At 38.0% G+C, this 24,965-nt stretch overlaps 1 protein-coding gene across 3 annotated transcripts in view; it reads right to left on the reverse strand.

Moving 5' to 3' along the window:
* The window catches only part of CA10 (carbonic anhydrase 10), a 529,711-nt gene that overhangs the window by 287,616 nt on the left and 217,130 nt on the right, over nucleotides 1–24,965 (reverse strand). For all 3 annotated transcript variants that reach the window (NM_001082533.1, NM_001082534.2, NM_020178.5), the window contains one exon: nucleotides 13,062–13,204. In NM_001082533.1, the coding sequence (NP_001076002.1) occupies nucleotides 13,062–13,204 (143 nt within the window). The remainder of the gene's footprint in view (nucleotides 1–13,061; nucleotides 13,205–24,965) is intronic.

The following is a 24,965-nucleotide window of genomic DNA, read 5'->3' on the forward strand; positions in this document are numbered from 1 at the left end:
TCCCTGGCAGCTTTCACGTGAGAAACTTCTTCAGAAAATTATTTGCATAAGAATTCTCATCTCAAGCTCTAAACCTATGCTTAGACAGCATCAGACTCTGGAAGGGTGACACAACACTTATTTTGAACAGATAATTTTGTGAAACTCTTATTCTATTTGAATTTGACAAGCTCAGAATAAATGACGTGAGAGTCAACAAACACTGAATTGATTTCTGTATTCAAACCTACCTAGCAACGATGCATTAAATAGCAACATACTAAGTATAATGTGTATTCATTTTCTCCATCATAGTGCAAGTAATGCATTTTGCTTATACTGAGAATAGTGAAAATAGCTACTTGGCTTAAAAGGAAGCAAGAGTGGCTTTTCCTTAACTTAAAAAAAATAGTTTCTGAATATTTCAGAGGAAAATGCAAATTGAGAAAAATCTCTGCTCCTTAGATGAGATGTGAAAAATATTCTTGATAGGAAGGTGGCAGAAAATATTTTTAGGCAGATGAGATGCTGCTAGTTTGATAGGTTTCTATTAGATATAACGTACCAAACTGTGTGCGTGTATACATTTTCACCCACTGGTAAAAATGAAATCATGTACCTTCATCTTATGATATTGTATGTAAATGTTTCATGTGGGTTAGAGCATGCATGTTTCAGAGCTAAGGGCCAGAATGGACTAACATCCTATCAAGTGTTACATCTGATGAAGATCTGAGTAAAAACACAACACTAATCTGTTCAGAACATCAGGTGGGCAAAGATAACATTAACAAAATAAAACTCTCGCCTTACTGAATAGACACTGGGTTTGCTCTATGAGAAAAACAGATATTAGGCTGAATGGCTTATTTTCACATTATTTGCAGTTTGGATTTTGGCCCTAGCATACTACAGAGCAAGGAACTAAAACATCTAACTTTTTAAAACGTTAAGAATATGAGATACTGGAAAGAGATGGATTATTTTAGTTATTCTTAATCTTTCGTGCAACATTAATAAAGTTGTATCTATATGACATTAAATCTTCATCAGAAAAATTAAGTCTGGGAGCTGCTCAGATGTTCAACTGCCTACGCTGCATAGACTCCTCAAATTGCATTATTTATTCCAGTTTTTCAGTTTTAATTTGGTTCTTTTGTTTCAGAAACCAAGCTTAGAAGAAAATGAGCATTTTCTTAAGTCCTTCAAAAAGAATCTACTATATTTCTTTTCTTTTCTGAGGTAGTAGATATATTATTATTTATTTTTATTTTAATTTTCCAACCAAAGATACCTGGTTTATAGGCAATAATATCCCTTTAATAGGATTCAAAGTGTCTGAGGTTTACATAGAACAACTTTGTGGGTTTATTCAAATGGTCAGGCTTACAAGGAGTAGATCGACCAATTTCAGAGCCTTCTTGGAGAGAATGTACAACTGATACCAGCTTTTTAAGATCAGCATCAAAAGCTTATCTTGGGTGTGTGTGACTGTTTCTGCCGCTGTCCAGGAGATCTACCAGTCTTACCTTTTTAACTAATGTAAAACCATTTGTCTCAGGCTGCTTGACAGGTGGAGCTAGTCTGTAAAACTTAGCTCATGTTTTTTTCTTTTCTCTCCCATGTTTAGATGGATGGTAAGAGAGCTGAGCTGCAAGCAGTATTATGTGAATAACACATTTTGTTGCCTATGTTTAAGAGGCTGGTTGTTTTGTAAAATGCCTGTTAGTTGTTCTCTTTGTTTGATTGTTCGTTTGTTTTTGAGATGGAGTCTCACTTTGTCGCCCAGGTTGGAGTGCAGTGGCACGATCTCTGCTCACTGCAACCTCCACCTCCCTGGTTCAAGCAATTCTCCTGCCTCAGCCTCCCGAGTAGCTGGGACTACAGGTGCGCACCACCACACCTGGCTAATTTTTGTAATTTTTTAGTAGAGACGGGGTTTCACCATATTGGCCAGGCTGGTCTTGAACTCCTGACCCCATGATCTGCCTGCCTTGGCCTGCTAAAGTGCTGGGATTACAGGCGTGAGCCACTGCTCCTGGCCAAATGCCTGTTAGTTTTATCTGTGGGATTATGTAACCAGAAAACTAAAGTGGTATGATGTGATGGCTACTGAACTCATGAGATTCCTGGAAAACATTCTCTCTTGTAGGAATTCATCTGCCTATAAATTAATTAAACATCTCAAGCTAGTCCTTCTATAATTTTTAATAAAAATTATACTCAGTTCTGGGATAACTTGAATTTTCTCTCATTTAAGTACCGTCACTAAAATTGTACAACTGTCAATCTTTCTGTGTTTAGTTAAAATGTTCCATGAAAGTGGAGAACCAATTTCACTCATACAGAAAAGAGAAGGCACATGTTCCTTGGTCATATGTATACAGAACCAGGAGAAAAGAGGAAGTGAAAGGACAGGGAAAGAAGGACAGGGAAAGAGACACAGGGAAATGATGAAAGGGAGGGAGGAGGTTGGAGATAAAGACTGGAGAGAAAAGAAAAGGCTAAGAGAGTAAAAGAGATGAAAAAATGAGAAAAAATGAGAAGAAGTATAGAGAAATAAAGGAACATGATGCAGGAAAGAAGAGTAAAGTCCTTTCTAATACCCACAGGAGGAGTAAAGAATGAGAGAGAATTAGAGACACTTATGAAATACTAAAGCCAACAACCAGGTGTTTCCTTGGGAGATTTGCCTAATGACTCTGCATTGATTTTCTGGATGATGTCAAGAGGTAAACATTACAAAGAACTGCCAAGACAGTGAGCGGCAATCCTCAGCCAAGATCTAAACTCAGCAATGGTGCATGAGAACCTGATACCCACAACAGAATGCTTCTGCACTGAATCCATTTCCCAACTTAAAATACAGCATCTTAGACTTTCACATTTTGCTTATCTTTCATCACTTTTCACTGCTATGCACTGAAATCTTCCGCTCCCTGCAAAAAGCTCTGCTCTGAGTATAAACACAACTACCTTGATCTCATTTTAAAATCTGTAATCAAAATCCTCTTTTATAACATTCATTTTGCTCTGAATCCTTCATTCCAGCTACTCAGAGTACAATATACCAAAGGAGAGAGCCTGTATCCAAAACTTTGAGGAATAATTTTGATAGTGGTTAATAAGAGGACAATGCAAGTTTCTTCCAATGTTAGTGCTTTAAAGGGTGTTTTCCTTTAGGAGGATTTACATCCTAGTTAAATCTTCATTCCAGGATGGCTGCAAGCAAATATATTCCACACGTCCCATCTAACCACTGCTCATACAGAATCAAAGTACATCAAGGTTGGAAGGGGATTCACAGGTCAAGTCAAAGCTCTCATCTGATGCCTCATTGTGTTCTACAATTTCAAGTACCCCTCAGTGCCCATCAGAACTCTTTCTGTGCCACGGGTCTCCATGAAACAGAAGGTCATTCAATTTTCACATAGCTTGAATTCTTATTTTGAATTGAAGTCTGGCCAAAGTTACTTTCAAACAGCAGAGCTAGTTCTCCCCTATGTCTGAGCCTGCACAGAAAAGGTACATTTAAAATCAGCTGTAATGACTTCTTAAAATATTTTCCTTTCCAATAGATGCATAGACAGAGAAAACTGAATATAAAACATTTTGATTTTTCATTACTTTCTTCCTCTTCTTCTGTACTTTACTGTGTCAATGTGTTTTCTATTAGTTAACCTTACTGTCAGCACTAGGGGAACTGATGCTAACATTCCAGATACTGTCTTCTCAGTGAAGGGTATTGCATGACAATGGCCTCACTTGTCATGGATGTAGAACCTCAGGTACTGTGTAATTAGACTGAATTCATCTCTTGGCATTTCCCCTGTGCTATTTACTCAACTGAGCATATTATTCATTAACTTCCTGTACTTTTTCACATGTAGTGTTCTTACAGAATATGTTGCTCGGCCTGAATCTGTGACATTTTATGTAAATATAGTTTGAGAGGAAAGTTTTATCTTTATGCCTTTTGGGTTTGGGGTACTAGCGAGGTGGCTCTGAATTCTTCTTCTGTCTTCCATAGAGTTGAAATCACTTCACCTCTCTCTACATATGCTATGAATTCTAATGCAAACATTAGTTTCTCTGACAAAGAAATTCAACTGGGAGTTATGTTTTCTTGCTGAAAACAAAAACACCTGTGATGGTAGCTAACAGCATGTTCTTCTCTGCCAGTCATTGGCTTGATAACTTGCATTATTACCTGCCTACTAAGTGCATTTTTTCATATAATTCTCTCCACCACCACCCTGCAAGGAAGGTAGAATGATGATGCTCCTTTTACAAATGAGGAAACTGAAGCTTAGAGAAGTTAAGCCAAATAAACCCTTTGTTTAGTAATCAAAGATAATCTTGGTTCATTTTGAATCAACCAGCACCTTCTCACATTTATCTACGATAGTGCTGGCTAGACAGTAGCAATCTAAAATTCAAACTCAGTTCTCACATCTGGTCATCCATGGCCATGTATTCTCTCCCAAATGGAGGTATACATTGTCTTGCTTATCCTGCTTTCCTCTAACCACAACTTTTTAAAGTGCTCCTCATTTTCTGGAAACTTCAACTTGTCCTGGGCTTGATTCTCTGTGAAACCATTGACAAATGATTTCTCCTCTGGTCCTCCTTGGCTCTAAGCCCTTTCTCCTGCATCTCTACATGCCATTTAACAATATTATTTCTCATAAAATTCCCCGTGCTGCCACTTCGATATCTTTAGCTCCTGCCAGTTCCTTTTTCGGTACTATCGTTTGTGATTCTATCACCATAATCTTATTTTTAAGAGCTTCCCAATCCACTAGAGCCATCTTCCATGAAGCAATGAGATCACATCAATTTTAATCATGATATTTTAAAAATCTGCCTTTTGAAGTTTTCATATCCATGTCTGACAATGCCTAGCTTTTTTTCTTTTTTTAACCTTGCTACCATTATTTCTAAGATAACACACCTACTTTTTCCTAGAGTTACTGTCCACTCCACATCACTAAGCCTTTCCTTGTTGGTTAGAATTAAATAACCAGACCCCTATCACTTTCTCCTGGAAAGGATATAATTGATATGTCAATAAAGGAATTTGTCTAACCACAAAATACAGATGAGTAAGAATTGCATCCACTTCTTCAGCAGCTCTTAAAGATCTGCTGTATCCCACAAACATACATAAAATTATACATACCATTTTCATATCAGAGTTTCAGTGTAAAAAGACCTTTGGTGCTTAAAGACAGCTATTGAGTTTTAAATGGGTAAGGATACTTATCCAGGAAAATTTAACATCAGTTATCCAATAAAAACCAGCACCACGGCAACACATTTAGATGACAAAATTGATCGACCTTTTTGTTTTCTTTCCACCTTCTGCATATAGAGTAAGATCATCTGACATTTAAGATCCTCCTGCAAGTTACATTTCTTTCTATCTCCCTTTTCATGCTAGCTCATATCCTACCTCTTCCATAAAGTCTTGTTTGACAAACCCAACTTCTCACTCTATTAAAACATTAATGCCAAGATGATTGATTTGCTAATTAATCATTTCTTAATATCTATACCGCTATTATCTCAAATAGTTATTTAAATCAGTTACTGCCATTTAGCTTCTGTGTGTCTATATTTTCTCCCCAAATATATCGTAAATTTTTTGAAGGAACATAAAAGCCTCAAACATAAGAGGTTTCAGAACATAGCAATGTGGACATGCCGTGAATGGCAATGATTAAATTTTGCAATCAGGTTCAGAGGAAAATTTTAAAATAGAGAAGTGATAAGATTTTAAATACCAAACCAATTCACATTTCTTATTTTTTCAACTTATTTTAATAGTCATAAAAAACATAACTGAAAATTAGTTTTAGTAACAGATTCTGTGGATAGCAAAGTTCTTTTCCCCATGGGCCTTCTCACATTCCCCCCACCTTGGATCGTAGCAACTTTTGGTGAATTCCACCTAAACGCATTTCTTGGTAAGCAAGGGTACTCTTGGTTCCATTCAAATCAGTCAGCGCTGTCATGGATAACCCCAAGGATATAAAATGAAAATATGAAAGCATGTTTATCATAAGGAGCTCTTAATCTAAGGGCTAATATCTATAGTATATTTGTCTTACTATTCCTTACAAGGAAAGCGATATTAATATTACAGGCCAAGGTTCAGATCCTAAAATAAATATAAGTAAGGTGCTTAAGAAGCCAAATAAAGAGAGATTTCACAGTTAGCTAAAGAGATCAAGAGGAATTTAAGAGATAGTATTGGAGCCACAGAGGTTAAAAGCAGGGGTTCGGACTCCTTAGGCAAGTGGGGTGAAGGGTATATTGTGGCCAAAGCACAGATCCCAGGAAAAGGAGAGATGCATTCACTTTGTTTGTTTTGTTTGTTTGTTTTTTAAAGTTTACACTCTCACTGGGAACAAAAGGTATGTACGAAGTATAATGCAAATGTCTGTGGAAAGGAGATTTGGTGCTGTATTACAAGGGCTGTGAATGCCAGGCTGAAGCATTTATACCTGATTTATAAGCAATTAAGAGTTTTATTAGCTCGTATTTATTTCATGGGAAATGTGGAAACTTCCATGTAGATACACCTATAGCTTTGTGTTGGATGTCTTCCGATCGTCCATTTGGATCCATCTTTACCTTGCTTAGGGGCTTGGAGGCTGGCTTGCATGGACTGATTCAACAAGCTCCTTTGGCTTCTGCCTTCTTTCCATAAGAGGGGAGGAAAGGAGTGCAGTCAGAGCCTTGTTCCCCAGCTCCACCCTTAGGGGTTGCCCTGAGCTGGTTGCTTCCCTCACTGAAGGTCAGGTGTTCCTCTCCATGGTTGGTTCATTTGGTCTCCAGGTTCTGGTCCTCACTCCCTCTCCTCACCCCTTCCAGACCTGGGGTGGTTATAAACGGTCCCTCTATGAGGGATCCTCATGACTCAACATGTTCCATGTCTCTTGCTGAGACTCTCCCTGATATAATCCCCAGGTATCCAGAAATCAAAAGGAAATTGGCGACAACAGTAGTTTTAGCCTTTGCTGGGCAAAATTTCAAACAAAAAACCTGAAGATATGGGGAAAAATCAGCTTCTTTGAGATAACCAATGTAGGTCTTCAGTCTGCTGATGGCCAGCTTCTTCTCTTTTTTGCTTCTCTCTCTTTCTCTGTCTCTCTTTTTAAAGATGGGGTCTTATTATGTTGCTCAGGCTGGTCTTGAACTCCTGGCTTCAAGTGATCCTCTTGCTTTAAGCCTTCTGGGGAGCTGGGATTGCAGGTGCAAGCCACTGCACCCTGCTTCTTTTTACTTCTTATATTCCTGACTGTGCCATTAGGCTAAGGTCAATTATTTCTACAACCTATCTCCTTCTCAGAGGTTTCAAGATCTTCTACCCTCTGTATCAGGAACAGGTTGTATTCCAAAAACTTGTACTGGATGTCTGTGAAAGTCTGCCAATTCATTAGGGAAATGTAAATCAAAATCACAGTGAGAGATCACTTCACAACCATTAGGATGGCTATTTCAAAATAAATAACAAAAAAAAAAAAACAACAAGTTTCTGTGAGGATATGGAAAGATTGGAATCCTTGTGTGTTGCTGATGAGAATGTAAAATAGTATAGCCACTGTGTAAAAAAGTGTGACAAACCTCAAAAAGTTAAACATAGATATGCCCCAGTAATTCCACTCCTTGCCATACACCCAGAAAAACTGGAAGCAGGGACTCAAACAGTTCATTGTATACCAATTTTCATTGCAGCCTTATTCACAATAATCAAAAGCTGGATGCAACCCAAATGTCTATCGACAGAAGAACAGACAAACAAAATGTGGTATATACATACAATGGAGTATTATTCAGCCTTAAAAATGAATTAAATTTTGATACATGCTCCAACATGGATGGACCTTGAAAACATTATGCTCAGTGAAATAAGCCAGACATAAAAAAGATAAATATTATGTAATTCTACTTATATGAGGTACCTAGAGCAGGCAAATTCATAGAAACAGAACGTAGGACAGAGGTTACCAGGGGCTGAGGGGGATGGAAAATGGGGAGTTCTTGTTTACTGGGTACAGAGTTTCAAGTTGGGATGATAAAAAAGTTACAAAAATGCATAGTTGTGATGACTGCACAATAGCCTGAATGTACTCAATGTCACTGAACCATCCACTTTAAAATGGTTAAAGAAAAAATGGCTGTCAAATATTCTGCAGCAGAGACCAAACACAGGACCCATATGAAGAACTATCGGTAGTTAAGAACTCCTAGAAATGACAAGATGATACTGAGAGTGGAGAGGAACTTAGACCCCACAGCATTGGACTGGAAGTGTCAGGAGCTGGCTTCCAAAGGTGCTCTCACAAATCTAAGCTGCTATGAATCTGTGATTAGATTCATTTTTATTGTTTCCCTGTTGTACAGGAAAAAGGCTGTTTCTGACTATAATTTTACAAAAATGCCAAAAAGTTTTAAAAATAATTTGTTGATTTGTGGTTAGTAAACCAGTATAATCTTTATGTTCACATCTATTATTTTAGATTCCTTTTGGCACTGCAACAAATTACCCCATAATTAGTGGCTCAAGTGAACTCAAATTTATTATCTTATATTTGGGGAGTTAGAAATCTGAAATCAGTTTTGCTGGGCTAAAATTAAAGTGTCAGTAGGGCTGTATTCCTTCTGGAAGCTCCAAGGAAGAATCTGTTTCTTTGCGCTTTGCAGCTTCCAGAGGCCTCCTTGGCTCATGGCCCTGTGTCACTCCGACCTCTGCTTCCATCCTCACGTCTCTGTTCTGATTCGGACTCTCCTGCTTCTGTCTTTTCCTTTTAAGGACTCTATGGTTACAAGGGGTTTGCCTGGATAGTCCAGGGTAACCTTCCAGTTTTAAAATCCTATATTTAATCATATCTTCAAGATACCTTCTGCTATGTAAAGTGACACATTTAGAAGTCCTGTGGATTAAGATGTGGACATTTTTGGAAGGGGACATTATTCTGTCTACCACATTTATCAACTCCAAATATATTTTCAAATGAAATGGAAAGAGAGGTTAGAACATACGTATTTTTCAGATTACCAAATTAATGCAAGTCTGTTTTAGCAAATCTAGAAACTTTAGAAAAGAAAAAATAAAACAGTATTATCCTTCATCCCAGTCTCTTTTTTAGATCCTACCTTCTATACTTAACATATGATAAGGATTTGTCGTGTCATCAACTACCTTTTATACTTAGATCCTACTTCTTATACTTAACATATGATCCTACCTTTTATACTTAATATATGATAATTATGTTTAGATCCTACCTTTTATACCTAACATATGACAGATCCTACTTTTTATACTTAACATATGATAAGCAATTGTCATGTCCTTAACTACTGAGGTGTCTATTTTATTAAATGAGTTAAAAGATGAGAAAAGATGACGGAACTGAGTTTTGGTTAAAATGATAGAATCGGCAAGTGGGTTTTAGTCTCAGTTTTAATATGTTTTTTCTCCTTTTAGATATTTTAGATCAGCAGATAGGTTTCTATGTGCCATATTTCCTTCCTGAAAGCTAAACTCACGACCTTTCAATACCCACCTATATCAAATCCTCAAAGCAAATATCTATATTCCAAAATAATTGATTGAAGTTATCCATATTTTACTCTGCGGTAACCTTCTCATCCTGTATTTCATTTTCAAATTACCAAGAATCTCACTTATGTGACTATACACTAAAATTAAAACACAAACACACTGCGTACACTCACTTTGGTCTGAGCAAAAAGACATGAAAGGTGAACATTTTTGTGAAATTTTACAAGTTCAATGGCTAACAAGGGTCTCAATCTTTAAAACAGTCAGTGAGGCTTAACTCAGTGTAAAACATCATTTATATCATAATCAAACTTCTTCATATATGGAAACTTTAAGCAACCTGAAACCACAAAGAATTATCTCCCCAACCTCCTCTTTTTGATTAAGTTAATTTAGTAGCTTTAACTAGAATGGATTAATTAGCTCCAAACAATGTAGCAATTGGATGTTAAATTTAACAGGGTCAAAGGGTGGAGATTGGTTCCAAGGTAGGAGTCTTATATCTACATACAACCCAGCCTTAAGGGCGTGCCATTTGTAAAAATACAATTACAGATTTAATATTCATTATGCAAAATGTTTGGGATCATAAGTGCTTCAAATTTTACTAATTTTGGATACTTGCATATATCTAATGAGATTTATTGGGGATGGGATCCAAGTCGAAACAAAAAATTCATGTATGTTTCATATACATTATGTCTTATGTAGATAGCCTGAAGGTAATTATATACAATATTTTAAATAACTTTTTGCATGAAACACAGTTTGAACTGCATTTTGACTGCAACCTGTCACATGAGGCTAAAAGGTGAAATAAATCTCATTTTTAAATAAAAATGAATATTTTCTATTACACTCAAGGCACAGTGCATAGGATGAGAAGGAATAACTATTATTCCTTGCTATTCTTGTACTGAGGTTGAATTTTAGCCTTAAACTATGGTAAGGAAAGCCCTTGTTCCTTCATTTGAGCCCAATGTCAGGTCAAATATGTTAAAATAAACATAGTAACGCAAGTCAGGGGCTTCCAGAGAGCTGCATCACAGTTTTGTGCATAAGATACACTTGAACACCAGAAAGAATAATGCTTGTGGATAAAAATGCGACACAAAACATGTAGTTACTAGGCTGCATTTCACGTACTGACACCCAGCTTGGCTCAGACTTCAAAATGTGACATCTTGCCCAAATTCAACAAAACTTCCCAGTCTTACAGGGTGATTTTCAAATCGATTAAGTTGGGTATTTCTTTAAGGGAAAACAAAAATCAGAGCAGTGATTTGAATTCTCACTTTCAAAACAAGTTTCCAACTCATTAAACATCACCTTCAAAATGTGATACAAACATGATTTACCTATTGCCTAGCAAATTAAGGCATTTCATTACCAATTAGTTTATCACGACCAACTATATTTTATTTTCTACCTTTCACAAATGCAAAAGGAACCATCAGACAGTTCTCAGCTCTTCAAACCACTGACAACAAAAATTGTGCCAGATATAAATATTTACATCATGAAAAGTAAATGTTGCCAAGATTCCAAACTCCAATGCATTTGAAAATTGGTTTGGATCAGGTATACTTTCCTGAATTGGAAAGATACAAAATCATCTGTTCAAAAAATATCTCTAAAACAAAAAAAAACCCAAGTCATAACATGTGAGTGATTTTTAACACTAGACTATCTCCCAATCTCTTCTTTCCCAATAAATTTTAGGGAGAAGCTGTGTTGACATTTTTTTCTTTCACATCAACATTTTTCCTTTAAGACATTCTGATGGAAAGTAAAAATTATATATCCATTGTTTGTGTTAGTTTGACACATTTTCCATCTCAATCCCAATCTGTACTTTATCTAAAACCCCTTCAAATGCTTGCCATAACTCGTAGGCGAAGGATTCAGCTCCCGAACACTGCCTCAGGACCTGCCCTCTGCTGTCCTCTCTAGCCTACCATCTTGCAAGCCTCTCTTCGCTCCCTGTGTTCAGCCTTGCTGGCTACCTTTCAGCTGCATTCTGGAACTCAGGCACCAAACCCCATTCTGTATCTTGGGCTTTTCCACCCCCTGCTTTTCCTTTTGCCTAGAATGCAATTATCCCCTACATCACCCTCTCCAAGAAAGAAAGAATGACTGAATATTTAATCATAACTACAACTTTTCCTTCTTAAATACTGACCAGCGAACTCACACGTGTTCACGACTTTAAATAAATAATTCACCTTTTTAAAGAGAAATGTACTTAGAAGCCATGACAAGCTCCTTGCAGAATTTATAAAAATAAAACTATAAATGGAACAATAATTAGGATAGCATCGTTTTATATGGAATCAGAGCAATAAACTAAATGACCTATATATGACCTTTCCACAAAAATGCTTCTCAAGTCATATTTAAAACAGTACACAAATACTGCATAACTAAATGGTGTCGACCACATGCAATGTCTTTTAAAACCTGCTTTGTGACCTGAGTCAAAGTCACTTACAGCTTTTTGATGAGTCATTAGGGGTGTGTGTATCTGTGACAGTTACATGGTACAAGAAAATATATTTCAATACATCAGAAGGGGAAAAAGTTAACTTACAAACTTCATGGTATTTATGGTGAACAGACTGCACAAAGGAAGAGAGAACAGAGCCCAATGACCCAAACCCTGAAGAATCAGCCGCTGGTATTATCAAAAGTTGTCAATAATTTTAACCTCAATTTTTTGCACACAAATTATTTTCCATTTCTCTTAACAATAGCTAAATTACCTTTGAACACAATTTTCTGCATGTGCATTTTTTTTTTACCTTTAACAACCTACTCAACAGTAAAAGATAGCCAAGTAGACATGAACCAGCAAGAGAAGTGCTAAGATTCCAGTGATGAGAAGACCCAATGGGCACTTGTGCCCTTCCACAAATTAAAGAGGAGCTCGTTATGGGGGGAGGAGAGTGAAGGAGGGATTTAGGTGTGAGAATCACAAAGCCCAGCTCAGCATTTCTGTGCAGGAGCTAGGATTCTTAGCAAGCAAGATGCCCCTAGGAAGATTAATTATTGATTTTCTTATAAATCATCTAAGGTGATTTTTGTCTGTTTTTTTCCTCCCAAGATGATGAACGTCTGATTTTATTTTTGTTAATTGGTTTTCTCACTTCACTGAGGTTAAAAGAAGGCCTAGTAAAGCAGTTTCTTAGAGGAAAGATTTTCCCAGCATGATAGGCAGGGGTGGCCACTATGCTTTCTGTCCTTTATGGGGGTACCAAGGTTGTCTGATAAGACTTCAGGCAACCTCCAGGAGGTACAGAGTAATCAGAAGCACAAAAGTTTGACTAGTTAGGGAGAAAAAGCACAATTTAGACATATTTCTATCTAATGGCGGCAGGTCTGAAGTCTGTGGTATTCCTAGGTGGGAGGACAAACTCATCACAGAGACTGAAGCCTTGAGGATTAGCTTTCAGAATCAAGATGGCCCCATCTTCAACTTTACCATGGAAGCAATATGGTGGCTTACCTTCCTGCCCCCCGTGTTGATGCGAAGAGGTGTCAGAAAGGGGTCGAAGATCATGTGACTGGTCTCTATGTTGACTGGCGACTGCCGTTTCCCCACAGAGCAAAGATTCCAAGCTGAGTTCACCAATCCCCAGAAAGAAGGAACTAGAAACAAAAAGAAATTATAGAATTAGGCTGAGTAGCAGGTTGGGGAAACAACATAAATAAACAGAGCTATGTACAAACGTGGTAAAATGGAAGAGAACCACCAAATGTTCCCACCCATGGAGATCCTTGGGGGTTGCTATGGTATTTTCCTGGTCTGAATCTTGGTCCACTTCTCTAAGTCTTACCTGCATGGTCTCTTGTCATCAGATTTTCTTGTTTGAGGCCCACTCATCCTGCAGTTTCTTTGTTGACTGCAGTCATCATTAACACTTTAATGCTAACATCATTGTTCAGGTCTCATCATCTTTGCAATATGCCTGGGGTAGCACAAATATTTAGCAATTCCCTGGAGTTGATGCTGTGCTTTTCCTATCTGGCAAGAACGATGTGAAAATCAACCTTATCCTATTTGGAAGTTTTTCAAGGAAAGTGTCATTCAGTGTACACAAAGTTTTTCTTTGGGTTGTCAAGACTAAACTGAGGGAGTGACTTATTTTATGAGCCCCCTAATCAATGCCAGACAAGAGCTTAGCAACTTGACTTCATCTTTGTTTAGTTCAACACTGTGTCATTAACCTAATGTACTTGTAGATAAAGAATTGGTGTTCATTTGATAGGCAGAAAAATGACATTAAGAGCTGAGCACAAATACCCAAAGGAAACCGTCCACTCATTTTCAGTGTCACATGAAAACTTCTATTAGAATGTATTTCTGTGGCAATTTCCAGTTCGATTTCTCTCTATTTAAGAAAGTTTTCAGGGCAAGGGTGGGGAGCCAACCTACTAATTTTATATCAGTGAAGATCAAAACTATACTTTCAGCCTTTCCCTGCCCCTTTCAGTACTTCCATCGAGTCTCTGGATCCATGTGTCCTTCAGATTCCCCTGAGATTATATGGCCATTCATTCATCCACCCATAGTACATGCAGTGAACTCCTATTTGGCATCACGCACTGGGTTAGGCTGAATCTCGAGGAAGGCAGGTAAGCACAAGAACAACTAACACACTGGGGAGGCTCACTAGTGTGAGGTCGAGTATGTTATGAGACTCCGGATGAGGGGAAGCCAATCCTGCCATGGTAGAGGGGAGGCAGGGAGTGACTCCTGGAGAAGATGAGCCTAACAATCACATTAGCCTTCTTAAATGGACCTGTCCTCTCAGAAACTCAAGTTTAATTAAACTTAAATTGAATAAAGGCTTTAACTTACAGTAGCCATCATTCTTGCCTATAGCATAGATGGAGAAAACTAAGGCAAAAGAGGAGTTTGGAGACACTTGCCAAAGATACTCAAATTCTTTGACTCTCTTATTTGTTATAGGCAACTGTAACAGACATGGGAGGAGAACTAAAAATAAGTTCCTTGGCCTAGACAAACACTTCAACATCAAAATAAGATGGGTCTCATTTTAAAATATGACAAATATCTAATTTGGTTTCATCCATGCCAATAAGCCTCTGGTAGACCATTTCCTTTAGTTTAAGGAGTTTGAATTGGCTTTTTAGTCATTAATGACTTTCAAAATGGTAGCAATGGCCTGAGTTACAGAGGGAGAAAGAGGAGGAGGAGGAAGAGGAGAAACATTGACACATGTGCATGGGCTTCCTCGGCCCTCTCATTTCTTATCATTTCTTAAAATATGTTATCACTACAAGTTACTCCACCTTTAGAAGGTACCACGTCCTAGCAAGACTACAATATTTAAGAAAGTTCTTGCATTATGAATGCACTTATATTATAAATATAAACTTGTCTTTTCTAAACTACTTTTTTTTAAAAAAAACACTGACTTGATCTTATATTTATTTATCCCTCAATCATCTCAAATTATGAAAATAAAGCCTTCATTAGGGCATCCTCCTAGCAGTCTTTGTCCGTAACGCACACACAAGTGGCAAATGTGAGCATGCCAGGGATATAGTCATGGCACCTCCACAAGTGAACTGAGTGGCCCTTGGTAAGTCATGTGTCCCTTGGACCTTCTTCATGGTTCCTGTGGTAGGCCGAATGGCTCTCCACCAATGATGTTTACTATCCTAATCCTCAGAACATGTGAATATGCTATCTTAGATGGTAAAGGGTATTTTGCAGATGTAATTAAGTTAATCGTTTTGGGATGGAGAGATTATCTAGGATTATCTGGGTGGGCCCAATGTAATCACAGAAGTCTTTATAAGAGAAATGTAGGAGGGTCAGAGATATAAAGATATACAGATGGAAACAGAGGTCAGCCAGGAGAGAAGATAATACTCTGCTGGCTTTGAAGATGGAGGAAGGGGACATGAACCAAGGAATGCAGGTGGCCTCTAGAAGCTGGAAGAGGCAAGACAATGGATTCTCCACCTAGAGCTTCCTGCTGTAAGGAATATAGGCCTGCTGATACCATGATGTTTAACCCCTTGAGAATATATTTGACCTCCAGAAACGTAGGATAATAAATTTCTGCTGTTTTAAGCCATGCAGTTGTGATCATTTGTTATGGCAGTAACGGAAAAGTAATACAGCACCCCTTTACCTTTAAAACTCTGTGAGACAATAACCTCTTTGACAATGAAGACATCTATGATGCTTGCAGGGCTCTCCCTAGAAGGCAGCTGCATGATTAAAGTAGTTACAGCTGGTGCACATTGCATTTCATCTACTCCCATGAAAAGCATTAACAAAAATAATTCCAAGCCCATAAATGGATTATAAGACTGCTATTATGTGGCAACATGGGTGGGCAGCTGCTGCTGTACTTCACTAATAAACGTCATGCCCAAAAAGTACCCCCGCAAAAACACAAACAGGAAAAACTTTATGCGAACATCTGCCTTCTCTTTTATTGGGCATGGAATTCTTTATGACGAACAGTTTCGGGGTTTTATATCCCCACTTCACGATCAAAGCCTGCGTCTCTGATGCTAATCACCTGCTCAGCCAATCGAGGAAGAAGTGAGAAACCTCTCTCCTGCTCAGCTGTGTCCCTCATTGGCTCCAGCCCTGAACTGCTATCTAAGTTTATTTACCCCTGGATGGCTGATTTTAAATCAGCTATGAATTAATAGCTTTTCAGAAATAGAAGCCACCTTAGAGATCGTCTGACTTAAATTCATTACATGGATTTAAGGCCATAGAGGCAGGGAGTAAAGTCCTCCACTCTAGGTCACACAGCCAGGTAGAGGCGAGGAAGGACAGAGTAAAGAACATTACTCAAGATTTCCAGTGCTACTGAGCCTCTGCTGCTCTAAACCCCTTCCTCTCCAGCAGGCTCTATACATGAGCAGATCATTTTAGGAAATTTCAGTTAATTGCTGCCAAGACCCCTGTAAGACTTTTGCTATCATTTCTCTTTTGGTAAATCAAGAATAACATTAGTGCCAATTTTCCAGTTAAAATAAATTTCAAGTGCAAAGGTTTGAATCAAACTGCTTTGAAAGTCAACTATTCTAAATAAACTTAGGATTTTAAAGGAGCCATACAACCATGGAGTAACATACATAGAAGGGCCTGGGTGTGAAAAGACTTCAGTTCAGGCGATGTGTTTGGGTCCCATCTGCAGGCCTCTGAGGAGACCTGATGGGGATGATTGCACACAAAGAGCTGCTCCAGGGATAGTTCCTGGGGTCAGCTGCACCGGGCAAGGTTTTAGTGCAGATAAAAATGAGAAGTCAGTGCTGTTAGGAGCGGTGTTAAGTGTTGGGACAATAATTAAGATATTGAAGCTAGTCTAGGGAACTCAAGTGCCGAATGGACCAGACTAGGTCTGCAAATGTGGTGTAATCTAGATTCTAGGGAAATGGTTTAGGACGAAGGCTGTGAAAACAGGCGTCCATGAAGTGCCTGTGCCTACTGGGGCATGGGAGTCAGATGGCCCACTTTACATGCAGAGCAAGGATGGGCGTATGAATGAAAGCTTCAAGATTTAGAGTGAGAAACTTGCCCTGTGGGTTTGTGCAGAACTGTCAGTTATATCCAAGGTTCTGATACTTAACTACCCTTCATCTACCCTTCATAGTGTTATCTTTCAGGTTTATAGACACCCGTGTCACCTTTTGGAGCAAAAGTGGGTTATATAATGCTGTGGCAGGCACTGCCTCTATTTCCAAGGTAAGAGAAATATTGTTGAATTTTTTTCTCTTAGTTTCCATGGCTATCCTCCAAAATCAGATGTTTAAACTTTTATTTTTAAAGCATCCATTATTATGGCTTATTAGCTAATGCTGTGTCTTTACTTGATCAATACAACTTACTGTTGAGAGAAAATGTAAATAAAGCAAAATAGAGTAAGAATCACTCTAATTAATGGACAACCAGTCTGACGATGTTTGAATTCCATCATCCTTGGCATCCTTTTTGTACAATCTTCTAATTTACATATAAACTAGAACACAAAACAGACCCAAATATTTTTGCAAATTAATTTTCACACAGCCTAAACCATGGAACTTAACTGCTGCATCACAGCGATGTGTTATCTTGCCAAAGTATTTCCCAATGGCACTACTGCCATTCTTACCATAAATTACAAATCCCAAACGTTCTCTTGGCTCTGGGTCCAGTGAGTTTTGAAAGATGCTCAGTGACTCTGTGATTTCAACTGCTTAAATCATGAGCCTTGGCAAACCCAAAGCAAAACTTATCAGCTGCTTGTTCAGACCCATGAAATAAAAAAGCTCCAGCTGTTTAATAACACACCTTGGCAACGTCTGGACAAAAACAACAAAGTTTTCACCAAAAACAAATAGGTCAGAAGAGCAAGGAACCAGAGGAATCAAGTCCGATAAGGAGAGTTAAAACTGGCCTTGACTTCTTTGTCCTAGAGAAGGTGTTCCGAAGTTAGATTGTGCTTTTAGGCATCTTCCTTATTCATTTGTCCTAAGCCAGCAGAATTTGCTGCTGTGGGCAGGATATTAGGCACTTGGAATAAGTTTATACAGCTTATGTGAATTTGCTAAGTCCTATGGCAACAAGATAAATTCAATTCAAAAGCATTTACTGACAGCCTCTGATGTGCCAGGCATTAGGGTTGGCACTGAAAGTTGATGCAACAAATCTTTACTGAGGACCTACTATGTGTCAGGCACTGCCATCAGTTCTGGGAAGTCAATTATGAATGAGAGATATGGTTCCTATTCTCATGAATCTTGCAGGCTAGTGGGAAATATGGGAGATAAACAAGTTTCTATATGTCTATCTGTGTAAAGTTTTTGGTAAGCATGTTGTAGAGACAAGACGGTAATGGATCATAGCTTAAAGCATGTATGGGAGAGAAAACCTAGGTAGCATGGTCAAGGGTGGTCTCTCTGGAAGGGTCAGCTGGTAGACTCTGGAAGGACTGGGAAAGTTGCTTCTAAACAGTGGCAGGAGAAAGGATGTCCAAGGCAGAGCGAAAGTGAGCAGTCTTGGCAGAGAAGAGCTGGATGTGTTCAGGAACAGAGAGGAAGTCAGTCGACTTGAGCCTGATGGACCAGATGAGGAGAAGAGCGAAATGAGATGGGGGCTGGCTGGGTAGACCAGGAACAGATGGCTCAGTGCTCTGCAGGCCACACTAAGGAGTTTGCATTTTACTCCAAGTTAATAGAAAGCCACTGAGAGTTTAGCAGGGAAATACCATGGTCTGATTTTTTAATTAAAGGCAGGTATCTGCCTCAGATGGAACACAGCCAAGAGCAAGCTCGACTATCCTTGAAGTAGTTTGAATGGGAAAAGAATTGGTTCCCAAGCAACAGTTGGGGACATAGGTTTTTAAGTGAATTTAATCCTATTGCTTTTGGTGTGTTTAAATTCTATTTCAAAGGCAGAACTAATTGAATGTTTTAAAATTATTCTCTTCAAAATATGTGCCAATAAAATCGTGTTTTCCTAGGAACTAGTGCTTTACAAGCCATTCTTTGAAGCAAGGAATATTTTCATGAAGACACTCAGCTAAAGCAATCTTTTCTCGTTTTCAAGCAATAAACTAAGTCCCCTACTTTTTGGTCAAGGGAAAGCAAATGAAAGTTGGGAAAATGAACGCTGGCATAAAACATATCTCTAGTGAATTCAATCCTACAGATAAAGCCTTCCACTTCAATATAGCAATCTCTACTTTGGGGTTATAAAGCATATGAATACATTTTAAATAAGAACTCATATCTTTCCCTTGCTCTTTTCCTCACCAATCCTGATTTACTGTCTCTTCCTCTCTTCTCAACTGTAATAAATCTCCACTTTGAGCCATTATTAATGAGCAAGTTTAAAATACCCACTGCTGCAGGCTTTTGGTCTGTTTCTGATTTGATTTATTTCATAGATGGAATTGGCCTTAAAGTTAACCCCTTTGCTGATGATTTCTTCCTCCATTGCAGGGCCTCTGACTCATAGCACATGGAGGGTCTTTAACTAGGGCTGCCCATTGTTAAAGGTAAGTTCTCCCATTGAGAACTAGGGCTGTCACTTGGGAACCTCTAAGGAATTGCATATATCCTATTTAACCCATAATCATTAATTTGTGCATTCATCTAAAAAATTAATGGACTGTATCTGATGAACCAGGGATAGAAAGATAAATCAAAATGCTCCCACTCTTCAGGACACTCAGTATGGTGGGAAGATAGACAAGCTAACAAATAGTTATAACAAAATATGATAGATGTTATAATAAGGGTATGTGTATATTAAGGCTTAAATTAATTCAGAGCAAGAAGCAAGCTGACCTGGCCCTTTTCTCAAGTGCTAAGGTAAGCCTTACTCATAGAGAGTGCATTATTTTAATCCTATTGCTTTAGGTGTGTTTTTAGTCTTGTAACTAGTTAAAACATTGAATCATCTCCTCAAACAGAGATATACTAGTCCTAACAACTAAGATGGATTATCACCGGAATGCCAACTATTATACAGGGAAAATTTAAGCCACTGCATCTTCCATCTTCTCACTTCTCCAATATTTCTCCCATACAGCTATTATTCCATGGGGAAAAGATCATTAGTACCATGTCCTTACCACAGAACCATCAGAAGGTGGCTAAATTACTAGGTGGCTTCATTTCTCTAGCTGTAAAAATGGGGGTGACAGCTACTTCACAGAGCTGTTGGGAAGATTGTGAGAATGTATTTATAAATGGTCTAGCATAATGTTGGCTCTATAATAAGGATTTAAAACATTGGAGAAGGGGTTGAGTGAGGAGGGGGAACAGCATGAACCACAGTGTGATTCCAACACTGTAGCATTCTCAGGGCAGAAACAGTCGAGGGTGAAGGATCCAGGCAGAAGGGTACAGGGAGGCAACTTTCAGATGCCCACCCAACCCAGCCTGGTTTCAGAACAGGGCACTCTGATGGGAGTCTAGGTCAAGGGATTAATTGCTTAATTCCATACTTTCAATGAGCCATGTGCATTTATTTCTTGGATCCATAGGTCTCAATGTCTGGATAAATGAAGGCAGTGAGCAGTGATATGGGTCATCCAATAGGGTTTTTAACTCCAAAGAAAAATCATTTTAATGTAGCTTTTGGGAGTTGTCAGATTACTTATTTGTGCAGCAGCAGCTTCGTCCTTCTTCCTGTTTGTACTTGGTTCCAAGTGGTGACTGGCTGGATCCCCAAAAGCACATCACTAAAGGTAAAGAGAAAGGAGGAAGAGGGAATTCTCTTTTGCTGATCACCCCCTGTTTAACAAGCTCTGTGCTAGGAACTTGACACATCTTATCTTGCTCAATCCTCCTCATTATTATTATTTTACAGGTGAGGAAAATAATACTCAAAGAGGTTAAATGACTTTCTAAGGTCACCTGGCCAGTAGGTTAGGGAACTAGAATTTGAGATCAGTTTCTTTCTTTAAAACAAACAAAGAAAAAAACCAAAGGAAGTAATGTATGTATGGTAACAGGTCAAATGATCCACAGGTGTATAAAGCAAGAGGTAATCATCTCTTCCTCCTTCCAGTAACATCCTGAGGAAACCAGTGTGAAAGTGTATTAGGCATCATTCAACATCTTTCAGTATACTCCTACAAACATACATACAAATATATACACATGTATATATATATTTGAGAGGTTCTTTTCTAAAAAAGAAGTATTTTTATAAAAAGTAACATTATGCCATGGATGTCCCTCCATGTCCATACTAATAGAGCTTCTCTTTCTTGTGTAAAGCTACAGAACTTCTACAGTTTGAATGCACTTCACTTTTCTCAATCATTCCCTAGATGAAAGACATTACAGTTATTTCCATCTTACTTTACCATGAAAATCAATGCTGCAATAAATAGCCTCAGAGATATTCTTTTTCATACTGGTGCTTTCATTTCAGTAGAAAAGATTCCTAAAGGTAGTATTGTTCAGTCAAGGTAGGCACATGCTTTATTTTAATAGATGCTGTCAAATTAGTTTCAAAGATACTGGTAGTGACTATGATGAACATTTACTCTCCTATCGGCAATGTGTGATGCATCCATTTCCCCAAAATCTCCATAGTATTGGATGTTATTTATTATTTATTTTTAGCAATCTACAGGAAGAAATGGTATCTCACTGATTGAATTTGCATTTTCTAGCTACTAGAAATATTTCTAGTATATTCTCATATGCTCATTGATTATTTGCATTTCTCTTCTGATCGTATTCTTCACATATTTTTCTCTGGGTTATTTATGTTTTTCATTTCAACTTCAGCTGTCATGTGAATTATGGAGATATTAACCTTTTGTGACATGGTATAAATATTTTCTTATAGCCTCTTATCTAGCTTTTAAACCTTGTTTTTGATATTTTGCTATATAAGGATTTTACCATTTTGTATGGTTGGATTTGTTGATAATTTTCTTTATAAGGTTTCTGGGTTTTCTCTCTCATTTAAGATGGCCTTTCCAACTACAGGTTATATACGTGTTTTTCTTACATTTTTATAAAATATTTTTATTGTTATACTTTTTACAACTTGATTATTTAAAAATATACCAGTGATTAATATTTGTATATGCTATGAGACAGGGGTCTAATATTTTTTCCCTGATAAAAAGTGAATAATGCCAGCATTATTTATTAAACAAACCATCTTTCACCATCAAACTGAACGCCCCTTTGATCACAGATTAAGTTTCCATATGTATTGGATTTGCTTCTGGTCTTTCTAGATTGTTTCACCTATTTGTGTATTCTTGTGTAAGTGTCATACTGTTTTGAGTGTAGTAACATTTATGGTAATTTATACGACAAAACTTCCTTCCTGATCAAAAAGATGCTGCTCTTCCCCTGCTACCACTACGGGACCGTAAACACCCAAGCTCCACGGAAATCTGGAGTTAGGACTAGTGATCCTAGGAACCCTTAAGCTGTTGGACCATTCTTGGGGGCACAAGACTGTCAGAGGTTATCTGGCTCCTCCTCATGTCTTCAGGTAGTTAGGTACTTCAGTCATACTTGATAGAGGACAGTGTCTGCCCCTTTCCTCAAAAAGCCCTCAAGGGGAAATTTGCTCTTTTAATCACCTTGGAAGTAGACTTTATTATCGCCCTGATTCTCACCAGTCTTAATGGAATCTGAGACATAGAGACGTCAAACTAACTTGTTCAAGATAAACAAAAAAAAAAAAAACACCCTGGCAAGTGGTGAGGTCAAAATTCAAAACTCAGGTTGTTCTGGCTCCAGATTCCTTGTGTTCTTATAACTCCTGTGCTATACTTCCTCCCTAACCTGGTGCCCTGACTTAAGCCAAACATGTTTTCTTCTGAGCCTCAGTCTCCTCCTTTGTAAAATCAGGGTCATAAGAGGACACACTTTGCTGAATATCTTTGTCCACCAAAGTGATAGTGAAAAATCAAAACAATAAAATTAGCAATGATCATCATAGCCAATTCTTTTTATTCACCAAGTCATGGAGTATGCCATTGGTGGGAAATCAGAAAGAAGGTAGATTTACATCAAATTCTACATAATTGCAGTCCCCAAAGATGGGTACTAGTTTTCCCATTTTACAGATAGGAAACTGAGGCTCAAAGAGTTGAGTAATTTATCCAAGGTTATTCAGCCAGTGCACAGCTGAGCTGGTGATTTGAACCCAGGTCTAAAATTCCCACTCTTATTCTGCTCTCATTCATCCCTCAGACCTAGCACAGAATTAAGATGAATTAAGCTGCCATTATGGTTTCCTCCTCAATATTTTGCTTTCTGAGAATTAAGCCTCCTGAATCAGGTGACTCATTCTTGCGAGAATCCACAGGAAGGCATAAAAGACAGTCTGGTTGACGTAGGCATTAAGCTCTTGTGTGCCTGTATCAGGTTTAAGATTTAGTCTAACAGTTGTATTAAGCATTATCAGGTTACATTTGGCTAGCAATTTTTCTTGCCCCATGTAATTACAGGTGCTTCAGATAAAATCTGAAATTAGTTGATAGAAACTGGGAATTAAAACCACAAAGAGAGGAATGTCTCAATGCATGTCAATAAACCAGCCCATTAATTATTTCTACCTACTCAACTCTGAAGAAAACGACCAGGCTGATGCCTCTGGATAATCACATGACCTACTTGATGTTTATACAAAAGCTGAATCTTCTTGGCTTTCAGAAGCAAATACCAGTAATGTTGAAACCAGCAGGGACACAAGAATTAAATGCCAGAAAAAAATAATATGACCACTGAAAATAGGTGATCTTCTTCAGCCTTTGTAAATTCTGAAAGTTCACCAAAACAGTATCAGGTGATGATTTCCCACAAATTCAAACATCTGGTGAAGCACTTCTAAAATCCTGCAAAACATCTGGATATCATGGAATACATATGTATGTATGTATATGTTTAGTATGTAAACATCTCACTGTCCCTCTATCCCTTTAACACTCACTCTCTCTGTACGTACATGCAAAATTATACCCTTACACACATGGCAAAAGTAGGTGAATAATGAAGGGTACAGTAGAATTGCAAACCCTACCACATATTAATAACTGTATATGGAGATCAGTTGAACTTAGCCTTACAGCCCATTGCAGCAGTGGATACCTCAGTTTTTGCAATTTCTCATTGTCTTCACATTTGTGTAATTCTATAGAAACCTCCAGCTGTTCCAGTCTGTCTTGAGGTTTATGTGTATGTAGGGTATTTTCTTTATTATTTACACAAATAACAGGGCTTAGTTATCTTCATGAGACATCAGGAGAAATAATCTTCATGCTGCCACTGAGTCTTGGAACCCAAACACAACACAACTGGTCACCAAAGATGGAACGAAACCACATATATAATCCGTTGGTGTTTTAATGATTTTGCACTAGGATTCATTGTCCAATAAATGTGCAATGTATTTTTTATCGAGGTGCTAGATTTTGCTTCTATGATATAGTGTCTTGACCAACACATTTCACTTGTCCTCTTAACTTTCCTGTTAGACTTTTGTATAATTACACTTCCTATTAGCCAGGAAGGAAATCTTGCAGGCATTATATATATATATATATCTGTCATCTCCCAAATCTTACCATGATCAAATCTGGGTGATAGCTTTGAATGCTTTGAATATTGAACCTAGCTACTAGTAGCCTAATGCAGGTTCCCACTGCCAGGTGCCTTAGTTTTTACTACAGTATCTTACTAAAGTTCCCTTTTACAAATGACATGAGAGCTTGGCAGACAAGGAAGAACCAGGACTAAAAATTGGGCTAGGTCCATGGTCCACAACAGAATTTAGTGCACAGCAATGTAAGGATGATGTTACTCTAGACCTGTGTTCCCTTGCAGCCCTGGAGTTCTGATTTGATGCTACCACCATGTTGCCAGTTTCCATTCCAATACTTGA

Source organism: Homo sapiens, chromosome 17 (genome assembly GCF_000001405.40).
Source record: "Homo sapiens chromosome 17, GRCh38.p14 Primary Assembly".
Lineage (NCBI taxonomy): Eukaryota > Metazoa > Chordata > Mammalia > Primates > Hominidae > Homo > Homo sapiens.